This window comes from Homo sapiens, chromosome 17, assembly GCF_000001405.40.
Source record: "Homo sapiens chromosome 17, GRCh38.p14 Primary Assembly".
NCBI lineage: Eukaryota > Metazoa > Chordata > Mammalia > Primates > Hominidae > Homo > Homo sapiens.
In genome coordinates this window covers 81,336,506-81,350,447 of record NC_000017.11, presented here as the reverse complement: position 1 = coordinate 81,350,447, position 13,942 = coordinate 81,336,506, and the positions used below count along the sequence as shown (strand labels likewise).

At 60.2% G+C, this 13,942-nt stretch overlaps 1 long non-coding RNA gene across 2 annotated transcripts, besides 4 other annotated features; it reads left to right on the top strand.

The window, feature by feature from the left end:
* Window positions 1,510-2,147: an enhancer, noted in NCBI's record as "H3K4me1 hESC enhancer chr17:79322101-79322738 (GRCh37/hg19 assembly coordinates)". NCBI's record gives its function as "activates a minimal SCP1, AML or CMV promoter by ChIP-STARR-seq in naive H9 embryonic stem cells {active_cell/tissue: H9 hESC(naive)}" and the evidence as "EXISTENCE:reporter gene assay evidence [ECO:0000049][PMID:30033119]".
* Window positions 3,902-4,821: a silencer, noted in NCBI's record as "silent region_9124". NCBI's record gives its function as "represses an Ori minimal core promoter by ATAC-STARR-seq in GM12878 lymphoblastoid cells {active_cell/tissue: GM12878}" and the evidence as "EXISTENCE:reporter gene assay evidence [ECO:0000049][PMID:35858748]".
* Window positions 4,398-4,686: a silencer, noted in NCBI's record as "fragment chr17:79319562-79319850 (GRCh37/hg19 assembly coordinates)". NCBI's record gives its function as "represses an EF-1alpha promoter that drives an FKBP-Casp9 reporter gene in an ReSE screen in K562 erythroleukemia cells {active_cell/tissue: K562}" and the evidence as "EXISTENCE:reporter gene assay evidence [ECO:0000049][PMID:32094911]".
* Window positions 4,453-11,265, top strand: RENO1 (regulator of early neurogenesis 1). 2 transcript variants are annotated; one of them, NR_186479.1, is made up of 2 exons: window positions 4,453-4,832; window positions 11,135-11,265. It is a non-coding gene; the product is annotated as a regulator of early neurogenesis 1 (long non-coding RNA). The 2 variants fall into 2 exon arrangements; NR_186478.1 differs by having other exon boundaries at window positions 4,453-11,265.
* Window positions 10,256-11,204: an enhancer, noted in NCBI's record as "H3K27ac-H3K4me1 hESC enhancer chr17:79313044-79313992 (GRCh37/hg19 assembly coordinates)". NCBI's record gives its function as "activates a minimal SCP1, AML or CMV promoter by ChIP-STARR-seq in naive and primed H9 embryonic stem cells {active_cell/tissue: H9 hESC(naive and primed)}" and the evidence as "EXISTENCE:reporter gene assay evidence [ECO:0000049][PMID:30033119]".

The following is a 13,942-nucleotide window of genomic DNA, read 5'->3' as shown; positions in this document are numbered from 1 at the left end:
CTCTGATGTGCCCATTTCAGCCATCAGAAGGGGGAACCCTAAAAGCCTCCTGGAAGGGTGACCTGCTCCTGAAACTGGTGCACACTGCTTCTGCCAGATTCTGTTGGACACCACGGTTACCCAGCCACACCTACTGCGAGGGAGCCTGGGAATGCAGACCAGCCAGGGGCCCCATGAGAAGGGGTAACGGCTTCTGTTGGACAGCCGGACGGCAGCCAGCCAGCCCTTGGCCTCCAGACATCTGTGAGACCCACCCTTCCTCCACACATCGTGTTAGAAAAAGTCACCATCATCTCCAGGGAGAAGACCCAGCCCAAAGCCTGCCTCTCTAGGATGGGCAGAGCCTTTCCGTGGGTCCCGATGACTGTCTTCCGGGTCCAACTGACAGATGATTCATTAAGCCATCTGCTCCCCTCCCCCCGCAACCTGAGCCTTCATCTGATCTTTGCCGTAGGCCTGCACACTTTTGTTGGACTGAGCTGCCTGAGTGACAGGCCTTGAACAGCCACCATCTTTTCTCCTACTGTTTGAGGCATAAACAGTGGCTTTTTCAACCTGGGAGTCCCAACTTTCTGGGGTAACTCTAATTGCAAACCGGCCCTCAATTTCTGGAAACAGTAGTCAAGCTACAGGGAATGAGTGCCTCGCGCTAACCTTCTGGCTCTTTCCTCCCTCTTCCCAGCGTTCCCAAGCCTTTACCTCGGCACACCAGGGGACGTGTGGCATCATCTTCAATTCACCACATCCGTTTCCCTGTATCCCCAAGTGCCAGGGCAGGTGTATCAGTCGGCTTTTGCCACAACAGTGCTGCATAACGACGACCTTAAAGCTTGGTGGCCGAGTCTCACGCTCACAGGGCTAGGGCCGACCTCCACCTGGCCAAGCCCCTGGCCTCCGGGTTCTGGGATGTGGGCTGGGCTGAGGTCCGCCCAGGTTTCTCGCTTCTTGGAGCCCCCGTCAGTTATCTGCGTTCTCCATTCTTCTCTGGGGCACAGCCTGCTTGTAGTGGGTCCCTGGCAAGCAGGAAGACCAGGCTGCCCTTGCTGGCACATTCCAAACCTTTGCCCATTTCAAATCTGCTACCTTCCCACTAGCCAGAGCACGTCACTCGCCAAGCCCAAAGTCAAGGGAGGAGAGCCCACCCACCACCTAGAGACCACAGCAAGCAGACGGATGTAAAATTCTGCTACGGGGGAGTGAAAAACCAATGATTAAATTGCTAATTGAATTGTAAGTTAAACTGCTCTGAGGCATAGACGCTGGTGTAAATGCCTAAACAAAAGAGAAGTGGATTTCTCTCTTGACAACCATGGCAGGGTTTCCGTTTGACAATGGCCTTGATTCTTGCAGTCACTCAGAGCCCTAGGCTGAGGGTGACTCTGCTGTCCTCAAGCGAAGCTTCCTGTGTCACCCTGGTTGTTGCCAGGCCCTGGGAAAGGAAAAGTTAATGGAGGGCCTTTTGGGCCAGTCACAGGAGAGGCACACGTCACTGCTGTCACCTCCACTGCAGGTGGCCACCTGGCCACACCCCTTGCCAGGGAACCTGGCAGATTCAGTCTAGCCCAGGCCAAGGAGGAGGGGCACCCAATCTCGCTGTACAGCGCCGGCTCTGCGCTAGTTAGTTCGCTCGTGTTAGTTCTTCAGTTTGTGGTGCGTCCTTGGGGTTGGTGATCCCAGCTTTGTGTGGGATCCCTGCTTGTCCATCAGCAGCACGTGGTCAGACACCTCAACTGTGGCTGACGGCTCAGAGCCCACGACTCCCCGCTCCCTCCAGGTGTTATTCCACAATGGGATCTCTTCTCTGTCCACTGCCTGTGCTGAGTGTACTCAGCCAAGGGTGAGGCTGCCCTCCCACAGACACCCCAGCCATCCCCCTCCCACTGTCCCAGGGCCCCTTGGCTCCTCTGGGAGCTGCCATCACCTGCCAGCAGGTTTCACTTCTGGGCACCAAGGCTGTCATTTCTTCCCTCCAGCGAGAGCAACGTCCCCACCCCCATCTCCCCAGGACTCCTCCAGATTTCTGGGCCACGGAGGGCACCCATCTTGTCCCTGCTGGTTGTAATGGACTTACAGTTTTTTTTTCTTTGTTTTTTTGGAGATGGAGTTTCACTCTCGTTGTTGCCCAGGCTGGAGTGCAATGGCGCAATCTCGGCTCACCACAGCCTCTACCTCCTGGGTTCAAGCGATTCTCCTGCCTCAGCCTCCTGAATAGTTGGGACTACAGGCATTCGCCACCAAGGCTGGCTAATTTTGTATTTTTAGTAGAGATGGGGTTTCTCCATGTTGGTCAGGCTGGTCCTGAACTCCTGACCTCAGGTGATCTGCCTGCCTCAGACTCCCAAAGTGCTGTGCTGGGATTACAGGCATGAGCCACTGTGCCTGGCCTCAGTTTTTTTTTTTTTTTTTGTCATCTCCAGGGACTGGAAACAGGAGAGGAGGGTGTCAGGAGGAACTGTATGGAGGGCTACCTTGATTAAATCCCTTCTCAGCCTCTAAACCCATTCAGGTCTCTGGCCTTGGCTGCTTAATCCCTGGGAGCCACACCATTAAGGCCATATTGATCTGGGTCTGTGGGCTGCAACCAGGGCTGGAGGAGGTCAGGATGCTAGGAGGTCCTCCCTGAGTCCCCCAGACCCTGGGGCTGCTGTGGGCCTCAGGGGACACAGCAGAGTGCCCGCCTCAGAATTCTGGTGACCCCTGGAGTGGGGAACCCCAGGGTGGAGTCTTAAAAGTTGCTGTCTAGTGGCTTTGGCAACAACAGTTGAGGGATCGTGGCTTTGGTGACAACAGTGCCAGGGACCTGAGGACTGAGAAGGCCCATGCTGGCCCGGCAGGACTCCAGCAGATCCTGGGATGTTTGTGACAAGACTGTGTTCCCTGGTGCTGGCTCCTCTGCCATGCTGTGCCTTATTTATGCCCAGGGCTCCACTTACCCTGCAGGGATGGACTGGACCCTGCAGGGAGAGGCCCTTTGAAATCTCACGGCCAGGGGCTGCTTTGCCTCTGTTTTTATTCTAGTTTGTGATTTCACTTTGACAAGGTTTGGAAACTTAGGAAAATGTGAGAAGCACGTTCCCTGAGGCCTGGGACTGCTGACACCCATATGTGCCTCCTTCTCAGTGAATTAAGACTGTGTCTATTACTTTTAAAGAAGATGCAGGACACAGCGGACCAAAGTCCTCCACCTAGAAACAGACAACCCGCTTTACATGTTTCTGTTACAGAGAAAGCGACACTCACCAGCTCTTTGGCATCCCAAAGGCAGTTTTGTCACTTTTTCCCCTGCCGTGGTGAAGGCAATCGGGGTAACAAGATAAGAAGGTCCAGGCATTCTCCACCCTTGCTGCCCTACAGGGCCTGACTGAGGGCACAGGAGGCCCTTCCCTCACCCCCTGCTCCAGGGGAGATGTGCGCTCCAGCCTGGAAGAAGACCCCCTCTGGGGAGGGCGCGGGGCACAGGCCAAGCCGCCTGGCTGTGCTCCGCTCCAGATTTCAGTGCCTGGGCCCTGGTGCGGGTGTCCTGGCATTTCCCCTCAATGCGACCCAGCTCAGGGGACAGGGGTCACTCCTCCATTCGGGGTAAGCCTGGGGCAGCGGACGCCAATCCCACGAACCCTGCCCGGGCTGGGGGCCTGGGACGCTTTCCCTGGACTCCAGGATCCGTTTGTACGGAGTCACAGAACACAGCGTTATCGCTCGTCCGAGCCCAGGTACCCTCCTTCCTTCCCGGGGCCTGCGTCGCCTGCACGTCTCTCCGCAGATCCTCGCGGAAACGTGCACAGTAGGGCTCTGAACAGAACCCAGGCTGCTCTGAGCCGAACCCTCTCCGGCCCGGGGCTGACCGTGTCCATCCAAGCCGCCGTCCCGCTCCCCGCACCCCCGACGCGGGGCCACCTCCTCCCACCTCCCTCCCCACTCAGGCGCTTCTCCCGACAGCGGAGGGAGAGTCAAAAACCCACAACCCGGCGGCGGGATCCTGCCGGCTCTAGCTGGGCGACCTGGGCGCACCCGCCGGCGACGCAGTCTCGGGTCTCAGCGCATAGAACCCGGCCGCCCGCAGCCCCTCCCGCCAGCCACGCCCCCTGGGCCTTCCATTGGCCAAGCCGCCCGCGCCTCCGCGTGATTCCATTGGCCTGCGCCGGGGGCTCAGACAAAGGGAGCAGCCGCGGAGGGCGGTGATTGGGCGGGGTTGGGGGCGGGTCGGGCGGGCGCGCGGGTCGGGCGGGAGCCGCGCGCTGGAGAGGCGGGGAGCACGGCGCTGGGGGAGGGGCGCGGTGTTTCGGGCCCGGGACCGGGAGGCGCGGGTGTGCGGCGAGGCTCGGGTGCCTTCCCTCGTGGGGGCGGGGCGGCGGGGGCGGGGCGGTTCCACGTGGGTGGGGCTGGGCGCCCCGGAGGGCGGCGGCCGCGGGGCGCGGGGCGCTGGGATCCCGCCCGCTCCTCCGCCCTGCACCCCTCCCGCCCCGGGGCTCCTGCCCGGACGGCGGCCGCCGCCGCCTCGTCTTCCCCGAGGGCTCCGCGTCCGTCTCCGCAGCTCGGCCGGGAACCTGGGAACTCGGACGCAGAAGGACGCGCCCGAGCCAGGACCCGCCGCGGGGTCCCTCTGGTGGGCCGTGGCCGGGGAGAGGACGCGGGCCCTGGCGGTCGAAGACGGACGCAGCGCCCGGAAAGGCGAGCCAGGTCTCCGGCTCCTGGCGCTTCCTGTGAGCTGGCTCGGCGGGGTGCGTCGCCGGGGAGGGAGGGACTGGCCGTGGGGCGAGCAGCCGGGCGGGGAGTGGCTTCTGGGGGCCTTCGCCAGCGGAGGGCCCGCGAGGCCGCCCTCGGAGCGCCGCCAGGTACGTGCGTTTTCCTTGTTTCCCGCGCTCCCAGAGCGCACTCTCGGTAGGGAACGAATAAAATCCCGGCTGGTGTGTAAGAGCCTTTCGCTGCAAACGTGTCTTTCTGCGGGATTCGGGGAGCCGCCGAACGCGGGGTAGACCCCGGCCCAAAGTGTTCCTGCAGCTTCCACCAGGGACCCTTCTCCACCCTCACCTTGGGCTCGGAGCGGGTGCCAGTTTGGAAATGCTTGTCTCTTCTGCAGCTCCGATTGAATTCGCCCAGGAGGAGGTGCGCCCTGCCTCGGCCTCAGAGCTGGGAGGACCGGGCTTTGTTCCCCGAAGCTCTCCCACCCCGTCCTCCTGGAAAATGCGGATTTTTTCTAGTAGGGATGCTCAGTTTTGAGGGGGTTGTTTTCGGAGGAAGCTTGGGTTGGGAAAGCCCGATATTGGCCCCAATCTGGCGGGCAGCTTCCCTTGTCTTGGAGCAGCCCCTCCTAGCCCCCGGAGCCCCGGACTTACACGGTTAGGAGACGCCCATGGGCTTTGGGGGTATTCTGCGGGGTCCGAGGAGGCCGGGTGGCCTGGGCGGGGTCCGAGGAGGCCGGGTGGCCTGAGCGGGGTCCGAGGAGGCCGGGTGGCCTGAGCGGGGTCCGAGGAGGCCGGGTGGCCTGAGCGGGCTCCTTCCCCTCCCCCATGTGCACGTCAAACAAAAGAATCTTCGAACAGTTTTGGGGACAGAACTCTTCGGAATGTGAGCCTGTCCTCCCCGCCCCCCTTCCTAGGAAGGACAGGGGTCTTTCAACAAAGGCAAGGCTGCGGTTGGAGCGGGCTGAAGGGAAGGAGCGCTGTTATTTTGGGGTACTTGATGAAAGAGAAACTCACTTTCTCTTTCTCCTCCCAAAATTAGAGGCAGCTGAGTCAGAGCTCTCCCTACTTTCTTACCTGATTAATGGGGTTTCACACGATGTTTGCATTTGGGGTGACTGGGTTTGAAGACTTTCAGAAGTGGGAAAGGATCCTGCTTGTGTGGGAGATTGGAAAGCTGGCCTCCACCCGGTGGGGGATAGAACCCCTATGGAGTGAAATGGATTCCAGGCCATTTTGCGGAAGATTGGAAATTTAAGGATTTGACGGGGGGGCGGTGATTTTGTGTCCTTTTCTCTCCCCCCTCCCCCCTCCCCAGTTTAGAACAAAGGGCGGAGGCGAAGGAGGCAAGATGGGTGGTGGGCTCGGAAGCCGGAGTCGAAAGAAGAATGTTATAAAAGTCCCTCACTTCCCAGTCCCCGCGCACTCCCAAATAGCTCATCAGAGTTTGGGTGGGGACAAAGTGAATGACCGCCTAGAGTCGGGTTTGGTACCCATGGCCCGGTTTTCGGCGCGGGCGTCCGGAGCCCGGGGGAAGCTCCTCCAGCTCGTCCCAAGTCGCGGTTGGCCAGGGCGAGAGAGGTCGGGGCACAGCGCGCGGTTTCTCCTGCCGCCTTCGAGGACCGAGACTCGGGGTTCGCGGCTCCCTGACTGCGCAAGTCTCCTCGCCCCTCCTGCTCCCCCCTCCCCCCCGCCGAAAGACGCTCGGAGCGCACACCCGCCTGCACCAAAGCCAGGGATCTCATTTCTCTCAAAATAAAACAACAAGCCATAAAGGCTCCTGATTCCAGTGGAAAAGGCGCCGCAGATTTATGGTCCCTCCAAATCCCCACACTCTAATTATCCCTGTTTTTAGTTTACTTATGGGTGGTGACCAATAAAATGATTTTCCATTTTGAATTTTTTTTTCAACATAAAAAATGCAAGCTTCGCTTCCCTCTTACCCGCTTGGATGGATCTTTTCCGTGCGGGAAGCAAAGAAATCCCGTTTCCCTCGGCCTTATCGGCCCAGGGCTGAGCTGCTGCCTCCGGTTGAGCGAACCCGGCCTGCCGCAGCACCCCCCAAGCACCCCCGCCCCGCACACCCTTAATTGCAATTTAAGGGAGAATATTCTTTCCGTCCTCTCTTCGCCCAAGGGCATTTGCAGGGACCCCTCCCTAGAAGTCCTGTCGTGGGCCTAGCGGCTAGAAGGGCCACCCCGCAGAGCGGGTCTCCGACAGCCCCAGCCCGGTCACCTTTCAAACTGCGCCCTCCTGGGCCCCGCATTGGGCGCGAGCCTGGGGCGCCCAAGGGCCCCCACTGAGGAGGAAGGTTGCCGGACCGAGCCCTCGCCACCGCTTGGCGCCCCCATCCCCCATCCTCCTCCCTTTGTTCGCCTTTCCGGACGCCGACTTGGAGATGGCAGGAAAAAAAAAATAATCAGATGGAAATCAAAGATTAGCCTGGGTGCGCGGGCGGCCTCCGCCGGGCCGGGCCATGCTCGGCCCGCGCCTCATAAATCTTCCTCGCGACGTGACAACAGCCGCGGCCTCGTTTCCCTGGGAACTCAGGAACGCATCGATCCTCCTCGCCGTCCGCGCAAGTCCCCTCTTCGGGAGCGAGAACGGAGAGTCCCTGGTGACCCTGACTTCTGGCCAGCGCAGGACGCCCCAGGCCCCAGCCAGGGTATCATGCACAGGAGTGGAGGAAGGTGGAAGGGAAGGGGCCCAACCCTCACCCAAGAAAGCGCAGCAAATACCCACACCCCGCAGGTTAAACCAAACACATTATTAGGGGCCGCATCTTCTCTCCTCCGCGCCGCCTGAGAAGGGGGCGGAAGGAAGGACGGAGAAGGGTGAGGGGCGGATTAACCCCTCCCTGGCGACTCCTTTGTCTGGCCCGGACATTGCTGAGCCGAGTGGGGCGCCCAGGAGCCAGCGAGGGGCTCCCGAGGCGGCCCCGGCTCGGCCCAGGTGTGCGGGCCGCGGTGGGGCGCAGGTTCGCAGCGGAGCCACGAGATCCCCGCGCCTCCGGCTGACGTCCGGGCGCCCAGGGTCTGCGGCCCCACGTGCGATCCATCCGGGAGCTGCGCCTCAGACGCCTCGTGGAGCGGGGGAGAACCTGAAGGAAGTCGTGGCGCGTTTAGATATTTTAAAAACTCGAATTAATTGGGAAAATAGGAAGGGCGCTTCCAAACGCGGAGAAGACATCCCGGGGTGGGGAAGGATGTCTTTTAAAAATTATATCCCCTTGTTGTGGCGGTTGTTTTTGACCTTTCCTACTATTAAAAGAAATGTTGCCACGTTTAATTTTTGTTGCCATGAGATATGGAGGGGGTAGCCCAGCATTTTGAAGTAATTTGATAAGCCTTCAAGTAGTAAATCCGAAAGGGAGGCCGGCGGCCCAGGTATAGTTTCTTTGTAACCTGAATTTACAATGAAAGCATTCTCCTTTATGGATATAATAGATTAGATTTCACAACTTAATTCACCGGAATGGCTCCGTTTAAGGGAGCTCCGGCTGATTTTATTACGCCAAGCCAAATTGGATGTTTGTGGTCTTAACGAAAAGCGATCGTGACATAAAATATATAATTTTTAAAGTAAAAAACCAGCGGGTTGGATCCTGTCCCCTCCCCTATCCTTGCTCCTTACTCCCAATCCCCCAGTGTGGGAAATACGGATAATTATTTGTGTGTGTTGGTTTCTACCGGGGAGACAGGCGCTCTGGGCTCCTTCCCCGGCGGGCCAGAGGCCTCGCCGGCCAGTGCGCACGCGGCGCCGGTTCCCGACCAAGGCTCCGGCCCGCTCTGCTGGCTCGTTTGAAACGTCGACATTCTCAGCGCACGATCCGGGGTCTCGGGGGCACCCATGGGGCCCGAAGCCTCTGCCTGCCGGCGGCGACCGGACAGCTCCCCCGGGCGCGCAGGGTAGAGGAAGCGCCCTCGAAAGCCCCCGCACGCATTCACGAGCCGGCCCTGCGCGGGCACAGCGGCAGCCGCGGCGGGACACCCGGCAGGGTCTTCGGCGCTACTTTGTGCCAAAAACTGCGCTCCCGGAGACCCGGGCACCGCCGGCGTCGGCAGCTAGAGCGGGACCCAGCTCCCACCGCGTCCTCCACTGGAGCCCCTTTCGGCCCCTCGGCGAGTGCGGCCCGTGGGGAGTGGGCGTCGGCGCGAGGAAGTTCCCCGGCCCGGGCGACCCCGGCTTCTGAGCGGCCCCTCCCCACGTCGCCGCCCGCCAGGCCGACGGAGGACCGGGGCGGGGACGGGGGTCTCAGCGGCCCATTCTGCTGTCACTTCTGACCTATTCTCCAGCAACGGCGCGTCCCCCCCTCGGCTTTTTCGCGAGGTTTGTTGAAGACGGATTTAGCCCCCGCAGAGCTGGGGAAGGACGGATGGACGGAAGGCCCAGCGCGGCCCACCCCTTCCCCTCGTCGTCTCCCGGCTGGCAGGAGCCGCAGCGACAGCTTCGGGGAGCGGGGCCTGCCCCAAGACCCCCTTCGCGGCATCGGGAGCCAGGCGTGGCCGGAGGCACCGCGGCTGCTCCACGTGGCTCCCGCCGGCCGCCACCCCGCGCGGGGAGGACGCGTGCGTGCGGTGCGTGGCCGGCGGGCTGCGGGGACGCGCTTGAAATTAAATCTTCGCAGTGCCTGACCTTGTTTTTTCCTCGGCCCTGATAACTGCAGCAGCTGTTTTTTCCAGAATCCCTGCTGCTGGGGGAGGGGCGTTATTATTATTTTTGGTTGTCACAACCTCCTGGAAAAATTCCCTGGCCTCAGAAAGTGTAACAATGGCCTGGCGGATTTCTGGAGGAAGCGCCCCCTCCTCTGCTTTCTGCGGGGACACTTCTGCCCTCGAGCTGCAGTGGGGACCTCCTCCCCTGCTCTGGCCCTATAGCCCCCTCCCCGGCCTTCAGAGCCTTACATCAGGCTCCTAAGTACGTGGCCTTGGGGTCCTGCGGGCCCCTTCTGCTTGCCGTCCCTGCCCCTGGTCACGCCTGGGAAAGGTTGCAGCTCTGAACTGGGGAGAAGCTTATAGTCTCCAGCACGAATGAGGCTTGAGGGGCACGAGGCAGAGGCCTGGACACCCCACCCACCTGGAGCCAGTGACCCTCACCCAGTGCCTCCTTTAAGACACCACTGCAGGCTGGGTACGGTGGCTCACGCCTGTAATCCCAGCACTTTGGGAGGCAGGCGGATCACTAGGTCGGGAGTTTGCGACCAGCCTGGACAATATGGTGAAACCCCATCTCTACTAAAAATATAAAAATTAAGGGCCGGGCGCGGTGGCTCACGCCTGTAATCCCAGCACTTTGGGAAGCCGAGGCGGGCGGATCACGAGGTCAGGAGATGGAGACCATCCTGGCTAACACGGTAAAACCCCGTCTCTACTAAAAATACAAAAAATTAGCCGGGAGTGGTGGCGGGCGCCTGCAGTCCCAGCTGCTGGGGAGGCTGAGGCAAGAGAATGACTTGAACCGGGGAGGCGGAGGTTGCAGTGAGCCGAGATCACACTACTGCACTCAAGCCTGGGCGACAAAGTGAGACTCCATCTGAAAAAAAAAAAAAAAGACACCACTGCCCAGCCGTACTTGGAAGACATGTCTCCTCCCCAGGAATCCTGCTGTGTTTGCTTTTGGGGTCAGTGCTAGTCCAGAAGCAGTTAAAGATTAACCGGCCTGGGCCCTGGGGTAGAAGAGGAGGCTGAGGAGGGGGAGGGGAGGGGAAGGGGCTGCAGCACAAGTGGTGCCTGATTCCTGGGCCATTCCCTGGCAGCCAAGTGGCTGCTGGGCTCTGCACACAGCCCATCCCCCCCAGTGCTGCTGCCCGCGTTCCAGCTTGCCCCCACCTGCCAGGCTGTGCAGTGGGTTCAGGTGGGAAGCAGTTGCTGGGCCCACCTGTCTGGCAAGGGCAGTTGGGGAGCCCTGGCTGCTTAGCACAGGGGTGACCCCAGCTTCTGGCTCACACATCCCTGCAGACTGTGGGTGCTTAGTGTGGAAAGAGGAAGGACCTCTGCCCTCCTGGCCCTTCCTCCAGTGGGACGAGAAGCCCAGGAAAGAGGCTGAACCCAGGAAGGGCTCTGGGCAGCCTGGCCGCTGGTCTCGCAGTGTGTGGCTGGTCTTGGCCTCCTGTTCTGCTTCCCTGTCACGGGGGTCCAGGGTGTGTGTGTGTGTGTGTGTGTGTGTGCACCATACAGCCAATCCTGCGCCTGCATCTCCTTCTCCTGCATGGGCCCTCCTTGATCAGGAAGGGGAGGCAGGAGGATCTCAGCCCCCACCTCATTCTACCCCAGTGGGAGTGGCCTCTTCATGTCCAGTTGGTCCCAGGATCCCCTAACCCATCATCATCCTGGGAGGAAGGCAGTGGCTCCTCCCAGCAGAGAGCTCCAGGACCCGCCCTGCCCTGTGGGCGGCAGGGCCCTCCTCCTAAGCCCCTCTTCCTGCCCATAAATGTATTTACACTTGTATTACCCCAGGTACGTGGCTGTGACAATGGCATCCCCAGCCTGCATGGAGGACAGGAATTGAACTTTAGTCTCCAGGCAATGAAGGTGCAGGGACTACACTTTATTAATGGTTGTTATGTAATAAAAAACGATAAAATGGCCCCTATTTGTAATTTTTAAATGCAATTTGTTTTAATTTATGTTTCTGAGTACTTCTGGGGCTTGATGGGGGCTGTTGGGACATTGCTGGAGGGGCTGGGCCACAGCGCCTCCATTAGGAGGCACCGGAGATGAGATAAGCCTGGGGTGGCGGGAAGTGCCGGGGACATGGAGGGCACAGCCATGGCCTTACTCTGGCAGGAGACGAATGTTCTGGCTGCCTTTTAAAAAGCCATGGCCTTGCCCTTCTGTCTCTGGCCACTACAGAGTGGGCCTGGGGAGACATTCCTGAACCAGACATCCGGAAGCCTGCTGGGCAGGACCATTTCCCAGGGATGCTGCGACCTTGGGTACGGTGGCTCCCCTCACTCCCCACACCCCCACAGGCATCTGGGCAGGTCCCTTGGGTCCAAAAGCAGCTGGCCCAGTGCCTCTGGCCCCCTCATCAGGAGCCCTGCCTTCGATCTGGCCACAGAGGAAGCAGCCTCGTTGAGTGGGGATTGGTTATTTCTTCTAGCCTTGGGAGGGTCCAGTGTCCCTTCTGGCGCTATCTGCCCAGCCAGGGCCCCGTAGTCAGTGCCAAGGCCTGAGGGCCCAGAAGCCTCTCCAGGTGGGTCTCCTTGGCTTCCTTCTGCACCTGGCATCTGCCTCCCTGAGGCTGCACACCCACTGTGCAGAGGCTGCTTGGCTGGGAAGGGGCGCCATCCTGCTGCCCCCTCCCCAACCCACACACAGACCTCAGAGCAAGGCAGGAGCCGAGATTGTGACAGCAACATTTCACCGCCAGTGACTGAGCCAAAGCAAACCGCATCAGATGCATGGTCAGAGAGGGGGAAGAGAGGGGGAAGGCCTTCTGGGGGAGTGTGGAGCCCAGCATCGGGGGTGGGGGGGGCCTGGCTTTGCACAAAAGAAGGGGCCGGGCCTGGTGGCTCATGCCTGTAATCCCAGCACTTTGGGAGGCCAAGGATCGAGGATCACTTGAGTTCCAGAGTTTGAGACCAGCCTGGGCAACATAGGGAGACCCTCATCTCTACAAAAAATAAAATAAAATTAGCTGGGCTTGGTGGCACATGCCTGTGGTCTCAGCTACTCAGGAGGCTGAGGCAGGAGGATTGCTTGAGCCCAGGAAGTTGAGGCTGCAGTGAGCCGTGATCATGCCACTGCACTCCAGCCTGGGAGACAGAGCAAGAACTTGTCGCAAAAATAAAAACAAAAAAACAAAACAAACAAACAAACAGAAGAAAGTGAGAAGGACCAGAGCTGGGGACTGTTGGATGGGAAGATGCCCAGCCGCGGTGGTCCCAGGCTCTGCCCGCTGCCCTCAGCCCCTTTTATTTCAGACCCATCAATAGCCTGTGTGTTCCGCGTGCAGATGTGGACACTGTCAGAGCCAGGGCCCCCAGGCGCCCCTGCATCCCCCGCCCAGACCTCCCGAGTTTCAACCAGATGCGGTGCAGCCCTGCGTGGGGCCACCCTTGGTATGGTGGGCGGGGCCGCTGCAGGGTACCTCCTCGTTCCACTTCAGGCCACTCCCAGCCAGTGGCCCCGGCTCTGTCCGAGGCCACCCCACCCCCACTCCTGAGGATGGAGTCTGCACCTGCTGCCCCTCCCACCAAGGACCGTCCCAGTGCCTCTCCCTCCCTTTGCCTTTTATTTTGGGAGCCTCAGCTTGCCAAGTTAATTGGCAAACTTTCCCAGAAGTAAACTTGAGGGATAGAAATTAATAATTTTCCCGGAGTTGCGCTCATTGCTAATCAGGCCAGCTGGGAGGAGGGGGCCTGGGTGCATCAGAGGACCCCTGCAAAGCCATTAGCATGAACAAGATCTAAGGGTGAGGGGTCCCCCTTGCAATTCAGCAGCTCTGCAGCCCCAGTGCCCAGGTGCAGGAGCACGGGGGGCACAGGGTGAAGGCAAGGGCACCTTGGAAGGATTCCAGCCATTCTCACACCCACACCCGGGCCTAGGCAAGCAGTTCCCCTCTTGCCGTGTGGCCTGGGCTGGATGGGGTCCCCAGGGTCTCTCACTGACCCTGGAAAGGCCCACTTGAGTGAGACAGGGAAGGGTGTGAGCCCTGACTGAAGCTCAGGCCGGGCGGGGGATGCGCCCTTGGGGAAGGAGCCTGAAAGGAGAGCCAGGAGTCCAGAGCAGGGCCCAGCTGGGACCCAGGCAACCCGCCCCGACTTTGGAGCCCTCCTTTTGGAGACAAGTGCCAGCCCACCAAAGGGTGCACAGTGTTGGGGACCCTGTCCCCAGGACTCCCTTGTCCTATAAGGAAGTGTAGCCCCAAATCCCCTACATTCCAGAACTCTGGCCTTCTTGGGCCTTGTGTCAGGCTGGTGGGAAATGGGTGGAGCTTAGAGGCCTCTGCTCAGGTCTCTGCACCCCCAGAGCCATGGCTGGGCCCCTGGCAGAACCTCGCCACCGTCCATTGCTTTGTCAGCTCCTTGGCTGGGCCTTCAGAGCCTGTGGAAAAAAGCATCAGTATGTGGTCCTCAGAGGACCTCGGTGAAAATGCAGATGCCAGGGCCCAGCCCTGGAGAGTAGAGTCGACGTGTCCACCAGGACCCCATGTGATCTAACCCAGGCAGTCCAATGACCGTGCCAGGAGGCCTGGGCTGGGCTACAGGGTCAGCTCTGGAGGGTGGGTCTCTTCTCTCATGAAGCGTTTATTGAATGGAA